Source organism: Homo sapiens, chromosome 14 (assembly GCF_000001405.40).
Source record: "Homo sapiens chromosome 14, GRCh38.p14 Primary Assembly".
NCBI lineage: Eukaryota > Metazoa > Chordata > Mammalia > Primates > Hominidae > Homo > Homo sapiens.
The window spans coordinates 86,040,151-86,064,790 of NC_000014.9; the positions used below are offsets into that span (position 1 = coordinate 86,040,151).

Genomic DNA, 24,640 nt, shown 5'->3' on the forward strand with positions numbered 1-24,640 from the left:
CAAGATTTATAAAATAGCATACAAAATAAAGCCAAATCTAGGCCATAAATCTAGAATAAAGAGACACAGATAAGACAATGACTTAGAATGTTTAAAAATAAAAGGAGAAACAAAGGTATATTAGGCCAATGCAAACAAAAGAAATGCAATTCACATTTTTATCCCAGAGTTTTTATGACAGTGTTCCAGATAACATAACATAAACATTCATAAAGCAAATATTAAAGAATCGACCTTAAAAATACAGATAAACTCACTATTAATAGGAGACTTTAATTCTCTCTCAGTCTATGAAAGATTATATAACTAAGAATGTAAAATATAAGCAAAATTAGAACTGACTGATACATAATTCCGAAAATGATAAAAATGGAAAATATAGCCTTATTTCAGGTGTCCATAGGACATTCATAAACATTAACCATACATTACTTGGCAACAAATTCTAAGTTTTTAAATGCCAAAGAGTAAACATAGCAAAACATCTGTGATCACAATACCAAATTAAATTTGCAAATTAATAACAAAATCAGAAACAAAATGATCCTTTTATAGATAACATTCTAATAATCTTTATAAACTACTCTTAATTGAGAAAATACAAACATAAATAGTAGAACTTAAGAAAAACAAAATAACAGATAAAAATACTATTACTCAGAACCAATTAGATCTTGTAAAATATGTGCCACAAGGAAAATTTTTAGTCTTCAATTATTATATTAATTTAAAACATAAAGGAAATAGTGAAAACTTTAAAAACAAAAAAGTTAGAATAAAAATAACTAAAGACTTAAAGGGAATATGAAGAAACAATTAATAAATATAAAAGAGAAATTAGCAAGAAAAAAGAATAGAATTATAAACAGACGCAAATGCTTTTTTTGAATAAAAATAACAAAGTAAAAAATTGAACTTATTTAACTTAAGAACAATGTAAAATCAAAATGCAAAAAAATTAAGAAAAAAATTCAAGTTAAATGAAGCAGTGAAAATTTTAAATTGCATAACACTAGCAAATAAACTTAAAGAAATAGATAAGAATAGGTAAGTTTTTAGGAAAATAGATTTTACCAAATTTGACTGCTGAAGAGATAAAAGTCTACAAAGATCACGTTCCACGAGGGAAATACAGGGTGCTATGTAAGAACTACTCTCAAAAGAAATAACACCACAGCCAACTATTTTACAAGGAAATTTTACCAAACATTTAAAAAGTGAATATTTCCATTGCTATTTAAACTATTTCAGAACATGGGGGAAAAATAAGGAAGGAAAATGGCCAAACTCATGTATGAAGCAACTATAATATTGAGCCCAACATTTAATATAAAAAAGGAAATTTAACTTATCACTATTAATAAAAATCCTAAAAGAAACACAAATGCAAAATCCTGTGAAACGTAAAAATAAAAACGTGACTAAGTGGAAATTATTCCAGGAATACTAGTGTATATTAATGTTTGTAAATCTATTAATAAAGCAGTGAAATGGCAGGGGGTAAAATGCAGTGATATATTCCTTAAGTAAAAATGAATGGATATTTGTTAATATGGCAAAATATATGTATTTCAGACACAAAACTGAGAACATGCTTGATGAAGAAACACTTGATGAAGTCTTTCAAAAGTCAGGAACAAGAAATAGACACAATGAACACTAGTAACAAACATCAGACAGCAGGTATGTAAGATAAAACCACAAAGATGTATAAAAATTGAAAAGGAAGAATTAGTATCTTAACAACAAATTCACATATAAAATATTAGATTATATATATACACACACATATACACACACATATACATATATATATTTAGAAGGTTGGGGAATTTTATTGCTCGAACAAAGAATCTGACAAAAGAATCTGAATATATAATGCATGTATGGGACAACTTCACTGAAAAGGGTGGGGGAATAAGATGCTGACCTAAGGAGCTTTGGAAATGAGTGAAATCTATAAGTCTAAAGACAAAAAGAATTGTACACAAGCACGGTGCTATAGTTGATAAAGTCATTTCCCACGGGGAACATAACTCTCCATTCCCTAAACTCAGAGTGTTCATAGTGCCATTCTTCCAAAAATTACAATATAAAAAGGGAATAAAAGGTTAGCTTGATAGGAGATAAAGCTAAAAGGAGAAAAACTAGCTCAAAATCATTGACCAAGGTTAAGAATAAGAGTGATTAATTACATTTATTTTATTATACTTTAAGATCTGGGGTACATGTGCAGAACGTGCAGGTTTGTTACATAGGTACACACGTGCCATGGTGGTTTGCTGCACCCATCAACCCATCATCTACATTAGGTATTTTTCCTAATGCTATCCCTCCCCTAGCCCCCAACCCCTGACACGCCCCGGTGTGTGATGTTCCCCTCCCTGTGTCCATGTGTTCTCATTGTATAACCCCCACTTATGAGTGTGTATGCTGTGTTTGGTTTTTTGTTCCTGTGTCAGTTTGCTGAGAATGATGGTTTCCAGCTTCATTCATGTCCCGGCAAAAGACATAAACTTATCCTTTTTTATGGCTGCATAGTATTCCATGCTGTATATGTGCCGTATTTTCTTTATCCAGTCTATCACTGATGGGCATTTGGGTTGGTTCCAAGTCTTTGCTATTGTGAATAGTGCTGCAATAAACATATGTGTGCATGTGTCTTTATAGTAGAATGATTTATAATCCTTTAGGTGTATACCCAGTAATGGGATTGCTGGGTCAATTGGTATTTCTGGTTCTAGACCCTTGAGGAATTGCCATACTGTCTTCCACAATGGTTGAACTAATTTACACTCCCACCAACAGTGTAAAAGTGTTCCTTTTTCTCCACATCGTATCCAGCATCTGTTGTTTCCTGACTTTTTAATGATTGCCATTCTAACTGGCGTGAGATAGTATCTCGTTGTGGTTTTGATTTGCATTTCTCTAATGACCAGTGATCATGAGCTTTTTTTCATGTTTTTGGCCACATAAATGTCTTCTTTTGAGAAGTGTCTGTTCATATCCTTCACCCACTTTTTGATGAGGTTGTTTTTATTCTTGTAAATTGGTTTAAGTTCCTTGTAGATTCTGGATATTAGCCCATTGTCAGATGGATAGATTGCAAAAATTTTCTCCAATTCTGTAGGTTGGCTGTTCAATCTGATGATAGTCTCTTTTGCTGTGCAGAAGCTCTTTAGTTTAACTACATCCCGCTTGTCAATTTTGGCTTTTGTTGCCATTGCTTTTGGTGTTTTAGTCATGAAGTCTTTGCCCATGCCTATGTCCTGAATGGTATTGCCTAGGTTTTCTTCCAGGGTTTTTATGGTTTTTGGTCTTATTTAAGTCTTTAATCCATCTTGAGTTAATTTTTCTATAAGGTGTAAGGAAGGGGTCCAGTTTCAATTTTCTGCATGTGGCTAGCCAGTTTTCCCAACACCATTTATTAAATAGGGAATCATTTCCCTATTGCTTGTTTTTGTCAGGTTTGTCAAAGATCAGATGATTGTAGATGAGTGGCATTATTCCTGAGGCCACCGTCTGTTTCATTGGTTCATATATCTGTTTTGGTAACAGTACCATGCTGTATTGGTTGCTGTAGCCTTATAGCATAGTTTGAAGTCAGGTAGCGTGATGCCTTCATCTTTGTTCTTTTTGCTTAGGATTGTCTTGGATATAGAGGCTTATATTTGGCTCCATGTGAAATTTAAAGTAGTTTTTTTCTAATTATGTGAAGAAAGTCAATGGTAGCTTGATGGAGATAGCATTGAAATTATAAATTACTTTGGGTGGTATGGCCATTTTCACGATATTGAATCTTCCTATATATGAGTATGGGATGATTTTCCCATTTGTTTGTGTCCTCTCTTATTTCCCTGAGCAGTGATTTGCAGTTCTCCTTGAAGAAGTCCGTCACATCCCTTGTAATCTGTATTCCTAGGTATTTTATTATTTTACTAGCAGTTATGAACGGGAGTTCACTCATAATTTGTCTCTCTGTTTGTCTATTATTGGTGTATAGGAATGCTTGTGATTTTTGCACATCAATTTTGTATCCTGAGGCTTTGCTGAAGTTGCTTATCAGCTTAAGGAGATTTTGGTCTAGATAATGAGGTTTTGTAAATATACAATCATGTCATATGCAAACAAAGACAATTTGACTTCCTCTCTTCCTATTTGAATACCCTTTATTTCTTTCTCTTGCCTGATTGCCCTGGACAGAACTTCCAATACTATGTTGAATAGGAATGGTGAGAGAGGGCATCTTTGTCTTGTGCCGGTTTTCAAAGGGAATGTTTCCAGCTTTTGCCCATTCAGTATGATATTGGCTGTGGGTTTGTCATAAATATGTGTTATTATTTTGAGTACATTCCATCAATACCTAGTTTATTGAGAGTTTTTAGCATGAAGTGGTGTAGAATTTTATTGCAGGCCTTTTCTGCATCTATTGAGATAATCATATGGTTTTTGTCATTGGTCTGTTTATTTGATGGATTACATTTATTGATTTGCACATTTTGAACCAGCCTTACGTCCCAGAGATGAAGCCGACTTGATCGTGGTGGATAAACTTTTTGATGTGCTGCTGGATTCGGTTTGCCAGTGTTTTATTGAAGATTTTTGCATCGATGTTCACCAGGGATATTGGTCTGAAATTTTCTTTTTCGTTATGTCTCTGCCATGTTTTGGTATTATGATGATGCTGGTCTCATAAAATGAGTCAAAGAGGAGTCCCTCTTTGTTTATTGTTTGGAATAGTTTCAGAATGAATGGTACCAGCTCCTCTTTGTACCTCTGGTAGAATTCGGATGTGAATCCCTCTGGTCTTGGGCTTTTTTTGGTTGGTAGACTATTAATTATTTCCTCAATTTCAGAACTTTTTATTGGACTATCCGGGGATTCGACTTCTTCCTGGTTTAGTCTTAGAAGGGCGTATGTGTCCAGGAATTTATCCATTTCTTCTAGATTTTCTAGTTTATTTGCATAGAAGTGTTTATACTATTCTCTGATGGTAGTTTGTATTTCTTTGGGATCAGTGGTGATGTCCCCTTTATCATTTTTTATTGTGTCTATTTGATTCTTCTCTCTCTTCTTCTTTATTAGTCCGGCTAGCCATCTATCTATTTTGTTAATCTTTTCAAAAGACCAGCTCCTGGATTCATTGATTTTTTGAAGGGTTTTTCATGTGTCTATCTCCTTCAGTTCTGCTCTGATCTTAGTTATTTCTTGTCTTCTGCTAGCTTTTGAATTTGTTTGCTCTTGCTTCTCTAGTTCTTTTAATTGTGATGTTAGGTTGTCTATTTTAGATCTTTCCTGTTTTCTCCTGTGGGCATTTAGTGCTATAAATTTTCCTCTAAACAATGCTTTAGTTGTGTCCCAGAGATTCTGGTATGTTGTGTCTTTGTTCTCATTGGTTTCAAAGAACTTCTTTATTTCTGCCTTAATTTTGTTATTTACCCAGTAGTCACTCAGGAGCACGTTGTTCAGTTTCCATGTAGTTGTGTGGTTTTGAGTGAGCTTCTTAATCCTGCTTTCTAATTTGATTGCACTGTGGTCTGAGAGACTGTTTGTTTGATTTCCGTTCTTTCCCATTTGCTGAGGAATGTTTTATCTCCAATTATGTGGTCACTTTTAGAATAAATGTGATATGGTGCTGTGATGGATGTACATTCTGTTGATTTGGGGTGGAGAGTTCTGTAGATGCCTATTCAGTCTGCTTGGTCTAGAGCTGAGTTCAAGTCCTGAATATCCTTGTTAATTTTCTGTCTTGTTGATCTGTCTAATACTGACAGTGGTGTGTTAAAGTCTCCCACTATTATTGTATGGGAGTCTAAGTCTCATTGTAGGTCTCTAAGAACTTGCTTTATGAATCTGAGTGCTCCTGTATTGGGTGCATATCTATTTAGGATAGTTAGCTCTTCTTGTTGCGTTGATCCCTTTACCATTATGTAATGCCCTTCTTTGTCTTTTTTGATCTTTGTTGGCTTAAAGTCTGTTTTATCAGAGACTAGGACTGCAACCCCTGCTTTTTTTGTTGTTTTTGCTTTCCATTTGCTTGATAAATATTCCTTCATCCCTTTATTTTGAGCCTATGTGTGTCTTTGCACGTGAGATGGGTCTCCTGAACAGAGCACACTGATGTGCCTTGACTCTTTATCCAATTTGCCAGTCTGTGTCTTTTAAATGGGCATTTATTTAGCCCATTTACATTTAAGGTTAATATTGTTATGTGTGAATTTGATCCTGTCATTATGATGCTAGCTGGTTATTTTGCCTGTTAGTTGATGCAATTTCTTCATAGTGTCGATGTTCTTTTCAATCTGGTATGTTTTTACAATGGCTGGTACTGGTTGTTCTTGTCCATGTTTAGTGCTTCCTTCAGGAGCTCTTGTAATGCAGGCCTGGTGATGACAAAATCTCTCAGCATTTGCTTGTGTGTAAAGGATTTTATTTATCCTTTGCTTATGAAGCTTATGCTGTATATGAAATTCTGGGTTAAAAATTCTTTTTTTTAAGGACGTTGAATATTGACCCCCCCAAGGTCTTCTGCCTTGTTGGGTTTCTGCAGAGAAGGCCGCTATTAGTCTGACAGGCTTCTGTTTGTGGGTAACCCGACCTTTCTCTCTGGCTGCCCTTAACATTTTTTCCTTCATTTCAACCCTGGTGAATCTGACAATTATGTGTCTTGGGGTTGCTCTTCTCGAGGCATATCTTTGTGGTATCCTCTTTCCTGAATTTGAATGTTGGTCTGTCTTGCTAGGTTGGAAATGTTCTCCTGGATAATATCCTGAAGTGTGTTTTCCAACTTGGTTCCATTCTCCTTATCACTTTCAGGTACACCAATCAAACGTAGGTTTGGTCTTTTCACATAGTCCTATATTTCTTGGAATCTTTGTTCATTCCTTTTCATTCTTTTTTCTCTAATCTTGTCTTTATGTTTTATTTCGTTAAGTTGATCTTCAATCTCTGATATCCTTTCTTCTACTTGATTGATTCAGCTATTGATATTTGTGTATTCTTCACAAAGTTCTCATGCTGTGTTGAGCTACATTAGGTCATTTATGTTCTTCTCTAAACTGGTTATTCTAGTTAGCAATTCATCTAACCTTTTTTCAAGGTTCTTAGCTTCCCTGCATTGGGTTAGAACATGCTCCTTTAGCTTGGAGGAGTTTGTATTAATCACCTTCTGAAGCTTACTTCTGTCAATTTGTCAAACTCATTCTCTGTCCAGTTTTGTTCCCTTGCTGGCAAGCAGTTGTGATCCTTTGGAGGAGAAGAGGCATTCTGGTTTTTGGAATTTTCAGCCCTTTTGCACTGGTTTTTCTTTATCTTCATGGATTTATCTACCCCATGGTCTTTGATTTCGGTGACCTTTTGATGAGGTTTCTGTGTGGATGTCATTTTTGTTGTTGATGCTATTCCTTCCTGTTTGTTAGTTTTCCTACGAGCAGTCAGGCCCTTCTGCTGCAGATCTTCTGGAATTTGCTGGAGGTCCACTCCAGACCCTCTTTGCCCAGGTATCACCAGCAGAAGCTGCAGAACAGCAAAGATTGCTGCCTGCTTCTTCCTCTGGAAGCTTTTTCGCAGAGGGGCACCGCTAGATTTCAGCCGAAGCTCTCCTGTATGAGGTGTCTGTTGACCCCTGCTGGGAATTGTCTCCTAGTCAGGAGGCATGGGGGGTCAACGACCTACTTGAGGAGGCAGTCTGTCCCTTAGCAGAGCTCGAGTGCTGTGCTTGGAGATCTGCTGCTCTCTTCAGAGCCGGCAGGCAGTAATGTTTAAGTCTGCTGAAGCTGCCCCCACAGCTGCCCTGTCCCCCAGGTGCTCTGTCCCAGGGAGATGTGAGTTTTATCTATAAGACCCTGACTGGGGCTGCTGCCTTTCTTTCAGAGATGCCCTGCTGAGAGAGGAGGATTCTAGAGAGGTAGTGAGGCTACCTCAACTTTGCAGAGCTGTGCTGGGCTCTGCCGCGTTTCAAATTCCTAGTGGCTTTGTTTATACTGTGAGGGGAAAACCGCCTACTCAAGCCTCAGTAATGGTGGATGCCCCTCCCCCCACCAAGCTCTAGTGTCCCTGGTGGACTTCAAACTGATGTTCTGGGAGCGGGAATTTCAAGCCAGTGGATCTTACCTTGCTGGGCTCTGTGGGGTGGGATCTGCTGAGGTAGCCCACTTGGCTCTCACTTCAGCCCTCTTTCCATGGTAGTGAATGGTTCTGTCTCACTGGTGTTCCAGGCACCACTGGGGTATAAAAAAAAACTCTTGCAGCTAGCTCAGTGTCTGCCCAAAGGGCCGTCCAGTTTTGTGCTTGAAATCCAGTGCCCTGGTGGTGTAGGCATCCAAGGAAATCTCCTGGTCTGAGGGTTGTGAAGACCATGGGAATTCACAGCACAGTCCCTCGAGGCTTCCCTTGGCTAGGAGAGGGAATTCCCCAACCCTTTGCACTTCCTGGGTGAGGTAATGCCCCGCCTCACCCCACTTTGGCTCACCCTCTGTGGGCTGCACCTACTGTCTAACCAGTCCCAGTGAGATGAGCTGGGTACCTCAGTTGGAAATGCAGAAATCACCCACCTTCTGTGTTGATCTTGCTGGGAGCTGCAGACCAGAGCTGTTCCTATCTGGCCATCTTGCCAGCTGGAAGTGATTGATTACATTTCTAATAGGTATTCTTGATACGATGTGATGTGAATTTTTCTTTATCTCTGTGATGTTCCTCCAGAAACATGTAACAGTATGACAAATCAAATATATTTTGAAAAACCAATGCTTCATATATATAGAATTTTCCAGTGAAACTCACCTTATAAACTATTGTTAAGGTCTAATATTTCATGAGGGAAAAATGTATTATTGCAAGATAGTCTTACTAATCTTTTATGAAGTAAATAGATATCTTACAAATTAATTTTGGTATAACTGTTAGTGCTTTAGGATGAGTTTTCATCCATCTTCCCACCCATGGAATCACTTGCTAGTGCTAAACAAATAATATTTTATGGATTTTCACATTTCATAAAGGATAGTGATTGCAAAATAATGAGTTTAGTCTTTTGGTCAAAAACCTACTAATTTTAAAATATGAATTTTTAAATGTAAGTTTTTACTTAAAACTTGTCAGACGACCTAATTGTATGAATTAAGCAAGTCACTTTTATTTCAACCTTTTTCAGTGGGTTGAGGCAAAGATCAGGTGATATGTGTGTAAGAGCACTTTGTAAATTTTAAGGCAGCAGAAAATTATAAGTTATTATTATGAAGCAGTCATTTGCTAAACTGTACGCTAGGATTCTCAAAACAATAAATACACTTTCTTAAAAAAAGTCACCTTTTGTTTGTTAGAAGAGAAATTGGTAAAACCTTTAACCTTGTTTTTGTTTTCATCAGATGCTGTCATGCTTGAGAAGTAGTCACGTTAAGAGTATGACAGCATACTTTGGGGGACTAATGATTGTTCAGGGCAAGACTATGGACAAAAGAAATAAAAATTTAAAAGGCAGAGAGAATAAAAGAAGGTATATGGTGAGAAGAATATATACTTTACCTTCAGAGCCACAGAAATAGCTTATTTGTATAGATTTTTGGTTAAGAATATTTTTCAAATCATTTAAATAATTGCTTATTGTAGTTGTAATCATATTAACTTTCCAAAATTTGGAAGAATAATGTGAAAATTAATAAGTTTTAAGCTTGTTCTAAGATACTTACATGAAATGCCATGAATAATGACAACATATAGTAATAGTTTATGCTTGTATTCTAATGAGTTGAATTAGCTATTTTTTCTGGTAACACAGTCTTCTGAGATTGTGACATGATAGTTCAAGTCAGCATGTTATCTGAGTTTCTTATTCTATGGTTTCTTTTCCACTTAATGTATTGACCCAACTCTATGATTGCTGATACATCATTCACTCACTCTCGTTTTTATATGTTAAGATTGATGTTTGTTTCTATATTCAGGATTCAGCTTCTTTTCTGACTTGCTGAGTGTCTTCTTAGGAGTTATGTATTACAAAATATGAATAAATAGAGTCTAACTCTGAGTTTTTCTCAGGAAAGGAAATACTTTTACAGGTTTTGAAATTACAATGATAAATTTTTGTGTACAAGCATGATGTTATCACACCACAGGCAAAACAGAACAAGAGTTGACAAATCAGTAGTTCCTTCAGTTGATTCACAGCTTTTCCACTGAGGTTTGGATTTAAACCAAATTGATCGTTGCATACTTTTCATCAACTCAACTAGGCAAGTTCATAGTAAATAGAAGCAAAGAAATACTGAAGATCAAAGGATTTTTGCATGTCTGCCCTAACCTTGGGCTATGTCACTCTTAATAACAACAGATGGTATTATTCCCTCTGAAGTCCTGTTTGCTGATGCTATAAATGACTAAAAACTGAGGTTTTAGTGAAAGTGCTGACAAAGACTCTACTAGATCATTTCACAAGATGGCATTAACTTTCGTTACTGGTAACTGTAAAGGCAGTGTATTTTAGCTGTGTTATATTTACATTGCATTGCCTATAATTCAATATCCAAAAACATTTTAACCATTCATGGGAAAAAAGAGAAAGTTAACATTGAACAAATTACCAAAGATTATCATACCAGCAAAATGTATAGTCACTGATAACATTTTTTTCTTGTCTACAGTAAAATTTGAAATCTTTAAATTTCAAAGTAAAAGAAAATCAGGAAGAGTGTTAAACTGAGGTTCAGAAAGAAAAACTCAACTGACCTGGCAAAACTTCTCAGCAGCCATTTGCTTAGTCTTGGTAGATTCTGGTTTGAAAGTTAATTAGCATCAAATAAGACAGCTGGTACTGATTCAGCAGAGACTGCATACTCCCTCCTCCTGCATATTCCCGCCTCCTCTTCCCTCTCCCTGCATTGACAGACTTTCCTAAACGCAGCAATTTGCCCCATCCATTGACGGCTTTCGGATGGCACTAATATTACTGAACATCCAATGCCTTAGTCGTAATTATAGTATGTTAGAATTAATAAAGATTTAATGCATGTAATGATATAAACATAGCTACAGATATAGAATATAATAATAAACTGATTACCAGAAATGAATTCTCTATATAATGCTGTACCCCAATATTAGAGAATAAGTTAAAAATGAAGTACTCTTAGAACTCGGATTTTCTTATTCCTGGTTAAGCATTTTTTCAACTGTACCTTACTTCTATTGCAAGGGTAGTTGTAGTCCTAAGTGTGGTGGTGATTGTTAGTATTGTAATGGAAAAAATAGCATTTGGATTTGGCAAACTCTTAATACATATTATCTCATTAATATATCTCTGTGGATTTAATAATAAGCTGCTCTCACTGAAATCCCAATGATGCTGATTAAGAACCTGAAGAAATAAAGAAACTAATAAATACACATTATGTGAGAGATATTATGCACAAAATTTTATAGAAATTTATTTCATTTTCATAATAGTTCTCAATTTAAGTTTTTGTATTAGTATTTTTATGCAAACAGGAAATAAGGTTCAGAGAAGAAAAATAACTTCTCCAAGATGTATAACAAGTAGTGATGAAATTGAATTTGAATCCACCTTATTGTTAACTTTCCATCTGAGCAAGCAAATAATGTGTCCAAGGTTAAGCAGTAGCATTACAATGCAGTTTCAAATGCAAGATATCAGATTCACTATCACTTGCATTTTCCATAACATTGCACTTTAGACTTTTTAACAGAGGTTTCTCAGCATTTTTTTATGAGAAGAAACTATTTTTCAATTTTAAAGCCTTGAAATTCTAAGTAAGGTATACTTCTTGTCAGTATGAATATATGCTGTATCTGAGAAAGGGGAATTTGTCAACATCAATAAGTTTGAACGCCTATCCAATGTAACACTCAGGTCTCCTTTGAAGATTTATATTATTTGATTAATAACTTTATTATATGTATTCTCATGTACATTAGATGATGTACATGTATAGTTTATCTAATCTATCGATCAGTCTTCTATCAAATAACTGTATTTGCTTATCTATTATCAATTTGACTCGATGGGGTTGACATGAGTTAAAAATGTAAATCTAGGCACATTTCTTCTATCTTCACTAAATTAAATGCTGTGAAAACATGTTCATTTATTATCTTCTGTAGCATATGATTCGTTCCAAAGAATTAATGATCCAATTGGCCATGTATAAAATTTTGTAATTTTTCCAAAGAAGAAGGGTGTGCATTGAATTTTCTAAGCATGCAACTCAAACTATATTCTCCTTGGTGGAAAAAATACTAAGTTTTAAGAAAGGAATTGGAGGATATTCTAGGGTCTCAGCCACAGGAGATAAGGGGCTATTGTGTTTTGGTGAAGAAAAGTAAAAATAATAATATTATACTAACAATACAATGAAGAAAATGTTATCAAGAAAAGGAATTTAAGCATGACCATAGAAAATTCTATGAAGGTATTGCTCCAAGGTGCATCTACAGAGAGGTATCAGATAAAGGCAGCCCAAGTTATAAAAAATATATATGGTTTTGGAATTCAAGAGGGATAAAATAAAAAATCCTGCATTGTGATTTGAAAAATCACTTTGACCTAACAGACGTTAAAATAAGTTCACGTGAAAATGTTGAGAACACACTAATGAATAATGACCTCAAGGAGTTAAAAACTTACTGGAAGAGCTGGCCCTAAACATAACACATAATAAATTAGTGAACATGTAAAAAGTGTTTTGAGGCAGGAAAATACAGAAGTCAAGAGTATCACTTGTGTATTAGTCAGTTTTCACAGTGAGAGCTACATGAGATTGGGTAATTTATTAAGAAAAGAGGTTTAATTGAATCACAGTTCCACATGGCTGGGGAGGCCTCAAGAAACTTACAATCATGACCCAAGGCAAAGAGGAAGCAAGACACATCTTACTGTGGCAGAGCAGGAGAGAGAGGGGAGTGGGGAACCACCACACACTTTTAAACCATCAGACCTCGTGAGAACTCACTCACTGTCATGGAAAGAGCATGGAGGAAACCAACCCCATGGTTCAATCACCTCCTACCAGGTCCCTCCCTAACATGTGGGGATTACAATTTGAGATGAGAATTGGGTGGGGACACAGAGCCAAATCATATCAACTTGAAAGATTATTTTAAGGTCATTGCTGATAATAATCCAGTTAACCTTTCTGAGAGATTACAATATGCCAGCTGCTATGCTATGGTAATTTGAAACATTATCTTAACATCACTTGAATAATCCAGTGAAGCAGATTATTAAATTCCCAGATTACAGTTCAAGATTCTTAGAGAGTTGAATTACTTTGTTCAGAGGTATAAGAGATAGAGATAAGACCAGACTCCAGGGCTGTGTAATGTGAGAAATGCTATTTTCCTGACAGAAATTCAACTGCTCTCTTTGCCACACAATTACTGCAAGGTGCCTGTTAATCCATGCTGCCCACACATTGAGCTGTTGATATTTATTAATGTTCAATACAATATAAAGAGTGAATTAGCTGCGGCTGATAAAATGCACATCACTTTAAAATATACCTGAATTTATATTAGATTTATTATTATTATGAATCAAGGATATTAAAAGTAGAGCCATATTAAGAAAGTTCTCCGCTAGTCATATTTTGCTTTTTGTTGTCTAATATACATTTCCCCACTGAACCTTGTTTTTCTTTCTGGCAGTAGCCTCTCAATGACTCTCAGTGTATATGGTTTGGTGAAGCTGACACATTCATGCCTTCTGCCTTGTATGATCCAGACCTAACAAATGAGTATATTTTATCTCTTAGGTCATAGCAATTGTTTGAGGACTATTACTCAATTTGTTCCAATAAGACCCAATTGGAGACTTTAAGAAAAAAGACACTCACTTTTCTCTTTAGTGACTAATCTGCGGGGCATAAATTTAGAGATTTTGGTAAGAGTGGACAGCTGAAGAAAGTCCACCTGAGAACAATTTGATATTTGTGTCGATTTACAGGGAAAAAAAATGACAACAGCAAGACTAAACATAGCATGTCCCATGGAATGTATGTGATACACTTATATTAAACATTCTTTATTGTCTCTCTGAAATTTAAATTTAAGGAGACATTATTTTATCTGACAACCCTAAATGCAAGGAAAGCAGAGATGAGACTTGAGTAAAGAGAGTCCAATGACATCACCTGAATTTATAATCTAATGTCACCAAAAGTCAGCTGACCCTTTAACCTTTAAGTTATATGATACAAAAGATCATTTATGTCACTGGTAACAGAAGAAGCACTACCTAAGAGGATGTTCTAAAAAATAAGAAGAAAAATAATTCGTATGCTTAAAACTGTTTGAACCACTAATATAAATAGAAGACATCAAATCACGTTTTAGTATGTTTGTGAGAATAATGCAAAAGAGAAAATGGACTTACACAACATTTTGGAGTTTGCAAAAGGGCCATTTGAGATCGAATTCTAAAATTATTTCATATTTGGTACATCTAGAATGCAAAGGTCAAGGTTATTTTTCATGAGAAGGGATTAAGCAGCCAAAGGAGAAGAGAATGTATTCCTCTGTAAAGCCAAAAAGAATCCAAACATAAAATGCATTGAGTATTTTATATCAATATCTGAAAAAAGCACAAAGTAGTAATGCCAATAACAAACATTCAGATAGAAAAATAATGTAAGAAAATACATTGGATAGGTAATGATGAAGCCTTTTCCAATTATCCTCCCCTCAGTAATTTCTCTCTCCTATATATTTTTATATCATTTATCATCTATACCATTATTTATCTCCCTTTACTGCTTTTCATGCAATGATGTCTCTCATATTATAAAACACATTTATTCTTTATTATGAGATTATAATTTCTGTAAGAACAGTGTCAAGAGGAAACATCTTGGGTGATGAAAATGCTTATTATCTTGATAGCAGTGATGGTTTCAAGGTTGTATGCATATGCTAAAATTGATTAAATTGTACAGTTTCAATATGTGCAGTTTATTGTACTTTAATTATACCTGAAAATATTTTTTTAAAGCGTGTGGACTTGGTTGAAAGTTACCTGAAGACTCTAATACCAGGCTAAAAATTAGAGAATAGAGGAAAAAGTGAGGACCCAAAGGAGTTAGAGCAAGAGCTCAGCTTTAAAGGAGGCTTTCTTACAAAAGATGATCAATAGTTACAAACATAAGGTGCAATATATTCTGTGCTCCAAAATTAATTGACCCACCTCAGGAACTTGGTGTCAGAAACCTTCAGGCAGTAGTCAGTCTTGTCTGTTTCTAGAGATCTGTTTTGGAGTTGATTCATGGATTGGTATATGGTAAAGATAAAGCACTTGGTTCCAATCCCTGGAGATTCTGGAGATTTAGAGCTAGAGGAAAATGACAAAAACAAGGGACATTGGGAAGTAGCTCCTGAGCTAGGAGAAAAGATCGTAGAGTTTTGAAATCCATAAGAAAAAAAAAAGGTATGTATTTTGTGGAATAGAAAGAGCACTATCAAGAGCTATTGGCAGATCAACTAAAACAAGGACAGAGTTGGTACTATATCCTGATATAAGACAGTGAGTTTCATGATAAGCCCCATCTGCTGGTGAGGATAAGATTGTGTAATGTACTGCCAGGTTTGATTGAGGATGGCTCAGTGGTTGGAAGAAGCTTGCACCTAAAACCTCAAGTTGAAAAGAGGTGAGACAGGAAAAGGCTAAGACACAGAGCAATTTATTACGTTTCTATGCCTGTAAACTCCTGGCATAGTGTTACTGGCAAATCAGGCACTTAATAGATGTATGTCAATAGATTGCCACATCAATAGACTCAAGGAATTTGCATATGATAACAAGGTTAAATATTTCATATGACTCATCTGGAAAAATGAAAGATAAAAGATATGATTAAAGTCTACGAGATTTGAGGGATCTGAATTGAGTGAATGCAAATGTCCTCATTAAATGCTTGATTATTAATATGATGAGGCTCGCTTTAAACTTGAAAGAGACAATTGTGAATAAATAAAGGTAATAACACTAATTTTTTTAAAAAAGGTTAATAAACGTTTGGACCTATAATGGAAGAATGAGCTTGAGTGAAAAATTTAATGTAATTCAATTACATAAACATTTGGGGACAATCCCAAGCTCATTTGGGGTTGACATTATGCAACAAAATTATGTGCTCCTAAAAAATTCTTCGACTTTTTCCCTTAAGAACTCCATGATGAAATTCAGCTCATTTTTATCTTGTTTTTTTATTAAAAAATACTTAACTTGTTGTACATAGTGTTTTACTGAGTTACTTTGAGCATTTTCCTCAGATAGAAATGATTTAATTACATATAAAATAACTTATTGACAATCAATGACATTAAGTAGTATTTCATATTTTTACTTAGTATTTTATTTGATTAAAAGTAATTCCTATATATTTTCCCCTTTGATTGCAGACAATAGTGAATTCAGGTTCCAAAATAGCTACAATAGTGATTTATGTATAAATTATATATAGATAATTTAGCACATAAGCCTGTTTGTTTTTGTGCTATTTAATATAAAACTTACTAATAGTTGAATAGTTATGTCATGTTTCCATAAACAATAACTCTTCATTTTTCATTTTTTATTTTACTTTAAGTTCTGGGATATATGTACAGAACATGCAGGTTTGTTACATAGGTATATATGTGCCATGGTGGTTTGCTGCACCCATCAACCCGTCACATCTAGGTTTTGAGCCCCACAAGCATTAGGCATCTGTCCTAATGCTCTCCCTCCCCTTTCCTCCCACCCCCCGACGGGCCCTGGTGTGTGATGTTCCCCTCCCTGTCTCCATGTGTTCTCACTTAAACAGTAACTCTTGATCAAAAGTATTGGACATCTAAATGGTTTTATCCAAATCTGCTTTACAGGAATCCAAGTACTTTTATTAAAAATATTATTAAAATGCAAAAAAATTCAGTTGGCTTAAAACTCCAATTTTTTTGTGGGACTGTCATTCTGTGCCAATATGTGTGAATGGCTTCTATTCTCTAAAAACTATCTACAAAAATAAATTACTGCAAAGGGGGGTTCACTGTCAGTATTTTAGTTGACCTGACAGGACAGCCAATGTCTTCCGCTTTCTAGTGTCAATGCGCCAGCATCCCCTAGTGGGCATTGTTAGAAATAAAACTTAATTCTACTGATAAGAAAGGTGAAGGAGGTTTATTAATGTATTAGGTTTATTTTGTTGGAATTCATTTGCATAATTAAAATAACTTTGCATTTATGAGTGCATATTGTCAATAAAACATTACTCTGGTTGGGATGGTACCAGCTATCATCTATTGCCCTGAAATATTTGTGTATTTAAAAAGTTTACATACGCAGTATTTTTGGATTTATATGTGTGTGTACAAAGTAATTTAAGCTATTCATCATTTATATTTGTTTGAATATTCATAATTTATATTTGCATGTTTGACAAACATTTTTAATTGAGGTTTGTGCTATGTATAGTTACAATTACAGACAGAAGTTTGACTCAACTGGAATTATTGTGGCATTAAAAATAAGCATTGATTTCTATATGAGACTGATTTTATTCAAATCCTAATTTCCCTGGTGATTAGCCTTGTGACCTAGAGAAATTTTTTTACCCCTTTGAAATCTTATTTTCTTCATTCATAAAACAAGGGTAAAAATGTACATACTGACTCAAAATTTTTAGGGAAGGTTTTCCAGAGTCTGGTAACACGTGTGATTAACAACTCATATGTTTAAAACGCATAAACATGTACAGAATTTTAATATTAAACGTTAAGAACAATGTAAAAAAGCTAAGGAATTCTTTTTTTCTTTTTTCTTTTTGTTTTCTTTCTTTCTTTTTTTTTTTTTTTTGAGACAAAGTTTCACTCTTGTTGCCCAGGCTGGACTGCAATGGCGTGATCTCGGCTCACTGCAACCTCCACCTCCTGGGTTCAAGCAATTATCTTGCCTCAGTTTCCTGAGTAGCTGGGATTACAGGCACCCACCACCACGCCCAGCTAAGGTTTTCGTATTTTAAGTAGAGAGGGGGTTGGCCAGGTTGGTCTTGAACTCCTGACTTCAGTTGATCCACCCTCCTCGGCCTCCTAAGTGCTGAGATTACAGGCAAGAGCCACCGCGCCAGGCCAAAGCTAAGAAATTCTAAGCATAAAAATGCATTATAGATGGTGCTTTGGGCTGAAATAAACACAAAGTAAATAAGTGGATATTTATTTTTATAAGAATAAATTAAATACTTTTTCTGTGTTATTGAAGAATATCTGATATAGGTTAGCTGTTGAGAAGTTTACCATAAGAGCTTATTAATTAATTTATAGGATATACAGGAGCTCTAAAAAAAAGCCAAATCAAATGCTAGAGCTTATTCATGAAATGGTTTTGAAATTGGGCTTATAAAAATGCTTCTTTGTGAAACTGTTTGTAGATATGAAAGAAAACCCTGCTAGAATTCATTCTTAAGGCATTAGATTATCTCTATATGTAGAACTAGTTCTGTATATTTTGTCTGAATTAAGAAGATTTTTAGAATGTTAAAATAAAATGTTATTATGGAAAGTGAGTGAAAATTTGAGATTATCAGGTAAATTTCTTAATAGTAAGGTTTTGAGAGAGATTTATTGAATGCCTGAAAAAGTGGGAACAGAAGAAGAGTGAGGCACAAAACACTCAATGGGTGCAGTTGACAGAAAAAAAGGCTGAAAAGCAAACTTCATCTTTTGCAGTTAGGCCCTATGATATCTGGAAGCTATCTGGAAACATTGTTTTGGTGAGTGCACTTCAGAATTTCTTGGTTTCATGCTTTATAAACAATCTGGTTTATGGTTCACTGAATAAAGCAGATCTTCTTTGACCACAGTGGTCTGTGGTAAAGTAAAGCCTTTAGCCAAATGGATTCCAATATTCATTCCCATTGGCTATGCTCTTAAGTTACCATATGTTACATGGTATATTTGCATATCTATTAATGCTTCTATGTTCTCCTCCCTGCAAGATGAGAACTTCCTTTGAGCATCAGCAATCTTTCCTTTATATGCAACGCAGTAGAGATAACCAGGTCAGATTTTTCCAATAAGTTTGCAATAGTTAGTTATAAGGAAAATTTCCCAAATATTTGTGTCTGTAAGAACCACCTACAGTTATGTGAAAAATACAGATTTTTTTTCTGTATTTTCTGAGCACCGAATCATAAATTTCTTTTAGATGTGTTTGGAAATCTATATTTATAAGATGCAACCAAATTTATTCTTATGGTTTTAAAAACTTCATACATAAATTCATAATCATAATTTGGTTATATTTAAAACAAATGTATAATGAGAATGTGAGCTCAGAGAGTAGAATTTAAACATTAAAAACTACTAGAAGTCATTAAACAAACAGTGAAATTGTAGTGGTGATCTCTTTCCAATAACTTTAATTGTTCATCCTTTAGATTAGGATAATGAAACTGACTTTTTTTTCCCCCAGACTGCTCTTGGTTTTAAATAGAAAATGACCAAAAGAAAACTTAGTAATTCACCTTTCTTTTATCTTCTTATTTTATTTTAGCCTGATATAATATTTCCTGTGGCAAGGAAGAAAACCACTAAGCTATCAATAGCTCTAAATTTCTTAAATTTAGGTCTATAGATATCCAGATTTCATGAAAACAAATGAAAGATTTGAAGTTATTTATTAGCAACTTTTTCTTTTGCTATGTAGCAAATTACCATAAATTTAGCAACTTAAAGTGACAAAATTTTATTATCTCACAGTTGCCTGGGTCAGAATTCCAGCAAATTTTAACTTGGCTCTCTACTTAGGATCTTATAAAGCTGAAAATACGGTGTTGTCCAGATGTGTACTTATCTGGAGTCTTGACTAGAGAAAGATATGCTTCCAAGGTCACTCAGGCTGTTGGCAGAATTCATTTCCTTGCAGTAGTAGACTAAGGTATCCACTGCATTCCTGGCTGTCAACCAGGGACCACTCTCACCTTCTGGAGGCCACTCTTAGATCCCTGCCACGTGCCCCACTCCATCTCAGCAATGGAGAATCTTCTTCACATTAGTTCCTTCTTGCACTTTAAATTTCCAATTCCCATTCTGCTACTAGCCCGAGAAAATTCTGCTTTGAAAGGGCTCATGTGATTAGATCAGTCTCAACCAAATGCTCTCCGTATTGTAAAAAGTCAACCACTTTGGGGCTTTAACTACATCTTCAAAATCCCCTCACAGCAATACCTGGAGTCATATTATTGAATAACCTGGGGATTGGAACATTGGAATGCCATCTTAGAATTCTACCACTGTAGCTCACTCACTGAAGCAGTTTTTTCAACTTGTAAATGTCTTGTAATATATTACAAAGTCTGTCTCTATACTCCTACTGGACTTCCACAATTTGTACAAGTCAAAATGAAGAACATTAGTTCTAAAGAACAGTCAAGAACCATTGTGCAATGTTGGATAAAAACATGTTACTTCTACACAGAGGTTCAGAATCTTTTCTGGTCAAGAATCTCTTTGAGAATCTGACAAAAGGTTGTAACTTATTTTCCACTTCTTGAAATACACACATTTCAGTCATTATTTGAATGTTAAGAGATTCTGATCTAAGTGAAAGAGAACAACAATGAGATTATCCAATGTCTATATATGCCTCTCTGATAAACCTATTAGAAAATAATGTTGGTCAACTAATGTTAACATAAGACTTGATTCACTTATCCAGTGCTAGTATGATGTATATTTTAATCTAGCTCTCTTAGAAACTATTCGTTTGTCAATCAATAAAATAATTTCTATTTTTTTAATTCTAAAATATTTACTTGAAAAATAAAGATTGAATATATTTAGGACGTACAATGTGATGTCTTTATATGCATATAGATTGTGTATTCATTACTGCAGTCAAATTAACACAGCTATCATCAATACCCATGTTGTTCATTAGATTTCCAGAACTGGTTCATGTCAGAATTGAAAGTTTTTACCTTTTAACCATCATCTCCCCATTTCACACACCCTGTCCAAACCCTGGACGCCATTGTTCTATTCTCTGCTTCTATGAGTTCAACATTTTTTAGATACCACAATATGAATGAGAAAATACAGTATTTGTCTTTTTGTGCCTGGCTTATTTCATTTAGCATGATGTCCTCTAGTTCATCCATATAATTGAAAACGACAGGCTTTCCTCATTTTGGCTGAATAATATCCCATTGTATCAATATACCACAATTTCTTTATCCATATATCTGCCAGTGGACATTTAGGTCATTTCTATACCTTGGCTGTTGTAAATAATGCCGCAGTGAACACGGCAATGCAGATATCTCTTCAACATACTGATTTAATTTCCTCTTTGACAAACTGATTGCATTTTCTTTGAATATATACTTACAAGTGGGATTGCTGAATCATATGGTAGTTCTATTTTAGAATTTTCCTAAAATAAAGCAAAACAAAACACAATGAAACAAATACTGAACTATGTTAGCACGTGGGATAGACTTCTGATGCTGCACCCAGCTAAATTTAGACTCAAAATTTTTTAAAGGAAGGAAGCAAAAGACTGAATTTAGCCTGACCAGTTGTTGAAAGAAATGAATTAAATCCTCTGTTGTTTGCAAACCAGATTATGTGTCCATTCTGAGAAACTCATCCTGCTCTGTTTCTACTTTGCCACGTAACATGTAGCTAAATATGTCACACCCTCGTGACCAAAGGAATTATGATGCCTTGGAAAATACCTGAACTAGTCCTAAAAGACAGCTTAATCATCTGACAAAATAACAGTATCTGCTTCGCTGTTTGTAAAACTCGGGCTCTAAGTACTGTATTTTTCTTATTATTACTGAATAAAATAGCACATGAATGAAAAAACAGGGAAATGTACTGGAGAAATGTATTAGGTATCCTCAGTGGATACCCAGTGCCTGCTGCCTCAAAGGTCTGTGAAGGAAGATTTGATTTCTTTCTCCTGAGACACAAAATTGCAGGTCCAGGATGTGTGTTACTGTGTAACAGTGATTATCTTACTTCATGGCTCTGTGGCAAATGCATGCCTGGTTTGTGGAAAGATGAAAATTAAATACAGACATCAGAAGATTGAGAGTGAAAGGGATTTGTTAGGTGTTTTCACTAAAATGCTAAAGAACTTCCATTAGGCTACATGTTTTAATAATTAAAACATTGCTTTAAATTGGCTTCAAAACGTAAGAATATCCAGAGAAACTAGAAAGGGTATTAGGAACTAATTACATTAAAGTATTGAAGATCAATTTCTCATGGTTTGGTAGCTTCATATTATTATTTCTTTAAAAACGATCAAGGCAAATATTATAGAAACATATCAAAAGATGCTTTTCTAGGGCTCTATATTAATAGTCAGTACTAAGAAATTTTTTTAATAGAATTTATTGAGTTAGCTCACCTTGGTTTTAGGAAAACACATGGCACCTTTTAGGAAGTTTGCGGAAGGAAACTTCTTGTTTTTCTTCCTGACCAGAAAAAAAAAAAAAAAGCCAAAATGACATTTACTTATTAAAAATGATCAGTTTGGAAGTGTGAAGGACTGGATTTCAAAACAGTACTTTCCAATCTGGATGAAAGATAATATTCATATATGATCAATACAATCTATTCAAATCCAATCAGCATGATTTTTATATTTTCCCTTTTTCTTCTTCTAGAAAAATCACATTAATATTTTGATTAAATCAACCACATAGAAACCCCGAGCTTCAAAATGAAGTGAATTTCCACCAATTTCTTTGTGCAGCTAGGAAATTTTGGAGGTTCCTCTTGTTTTCCCACACTAGAGGGAGAGGGCATGAGTGAGACTAGGCTGATCTCCACGCAGAGTGACATGTTATTCATATTGTGACATCATTTCATGTGCTTTTCAGTGTAATTGGATTTCTTCCATCTTCTAGAATCTACAGTTTAGATCTTGACTCTTATTTCAGGGATTGATTCTAGTTTGTCACATATAAGATCAAGGTTGAAGAATATTTTCTTTAGCGAACCGTATCTGTGGCAACCATGCAAATGTTCCTTTCGAGCTTCCAACTGACGGGACTGTAATGGAACAACGGCTCTAGCTGCTTCCTGCTGCATGGAAAAAAAATCCATTGCCACACTGACCAAAACCTATATTTCCCATAGGCTTCTCCATGCAATGGACTGAGCAGGATGGGGATACCAAGACAGGTTTGCTTCTGGAAGCAAACAGGACTCCCGAGCTGGTTGACTTTGGTTCAAGAACCCTTTGATGACTTTGCCAAACTGCCTTACTTTGCAAGCTGTTCAGAATATTTACAACATCTCCCCTTTTCTATCTTCTTCAGTTGGGTGTAAGACTCATACTGTGGATCAACAGCTCTCCTATTATTCCATGACTCTTTTTCTATCTTCTTCCTCAGGGGTTTTCCCCTAACAAAACCACTGCGTGTTTAATCTAGCCTTGGAGTCTGCTTCTCAAAGAACCTGAACTATCACAGTTTTTTATGTGAAGTTATATAATTATACTATTTATAAGGCAGAGAGAAAGAAAAGGAATATTTTTAAATTTTTATAGAATTATGGAGTATTTCAGAATTACGTATCTGTACAAACAAAAATGAGTCTAATAATAAAGTAAGATTGAAAAAATTTGGGTTCATCTTAACATTCCAGGACCCTATTATGGTGGTAACAGATTTAAAACTATAAGAATGTTTCTTTTCCTACTTACTGGATTTTATTAAGTCACATCTTTTCAGCTATGTAAACAAAGTTTGTGATATCTTTACAAAATAATTGAATTTATGGTTTATATCTGAATTCACGGCATGGCATGGATGAGTCAAGCTCTAGTATATCTTCAGTTTATTCCAACTGTGTTATTTGATGTGAGTTTCCTTTTTGCTTACCTCCAGCTCAGAAATCAACCTTAACCAAACTAAAGGTAAAACAACCTGCTAACATCAAACATGAGAGCATCCCCATCTAATAGGCTCTATTGACACCACCTTCCTCTGCCTATAGAAAACAAGCTCAATATTGCATTCTCAGAGTTATGTGGAAAATATATTCTTCCTTGCTCAATATTATGGACAATGGTGAGCAAGAAAAGAAGTTTTTAAACATTTTAAAAGTAGAAATCCATTTACATATACAGTTTTATGATTATAACTCTCAACGGTTATTTCAACATCTTGACTTAAAGTTTTAGGAAACTCTTAAACTGAATGTAAAGATAATTTATCTTCTATATATTTTTAATGAACAGTTCGGTACTTTAAGTTAAATATTTGAATATGCGTACACAGACACAAACGTATATTTTTTGTACATAATACTTTGTGTATGATTTTTAGTTATGATTTGTTTAAATTACACAAATTTTAGATACACATAATTAAATTTGAAACAAATTTTAGTGGAAACACAAAGTGTGTAAGTTGGTACTAGTATATTATAGTTTTAAAAAATCACTGTTGTTTATGTATATACACACACACATTTATATGTATAAAATATTTGTTATCCTTGATCACTTACTTTGTCTTAAAGAAATGTGCTGTACACAGACATGGAATCAACCTAAATGTCCACCAATGATAAACTGGATAAAGAAAATGTGGTACATACATACCATGGAATACTATGCAGCCATGAAAAAGAATGAGAT

The 24,640-nt window shown here is 34.7% G+C and overlaps 2 long non-coding RNA genes across 4 annotated transcripts in view, besides 1 other annotated feature; one reads left to right on the forward strand and one right to left on the reverse strand.

Moving 5' to 3' along the window:
- Positions 1 to 22,836, reverse strand: part of LINC02316 (long intergenic non-protein coding RNA 2316) — a 56,094-nt gene extending 33,258 nt beyond the window's left edge. The window contains exons 1-4 of one of the 3 annotated variants that reach the window (NR_184189.1): positions 22,400 to 22,836; positions 21,368 to 21,412; positions 15,191 to 15,334; positions 14,384 to 14,452 (exon numbers count right to left, since the gene is read on the reverse strand). This is a non-coding gene — a long non-coding RNA (long intergenic non-protein coding RNA 2316). Of the gene's footprint in view, positions 1 to 14,383; positions 14,526 to 15,190; positions 15,335 to 21,367; positions 21,413 to 22,399 lie in introns of all 3 variants that reach the window. The other 2 variants (NR_184187.1, NR_184188.1) reach the window with 2 other exon arrangements.
- Positions 1 to 24,640, forward strand: part of LINC02328 (long intergenic non-protein coding RNA 2328) — a 195,101-nt gene that overhangs the window by 105,473 nt on the left and 64,988 nt on the right. The gene's annotated exons all lie outside the window — the stretch shown is intronic.
- Positions 23,491 to 23,660: an enhancer, noted in NCBI's record as "experimental_38386 CRE fragment used in MPRA reporter constructs". NCBI's record gives its function as "activates a minimal promoter by MPRAs in K562 erythroleukemia cells, with activity observed for both the introgressed and non-introgressed 14:86530070 variant alleles {active_cell/tissue: K562}" and the evidence as "EXISTENCE:reporter gene assay evidence [ECO:0000049][PMID:34662402]".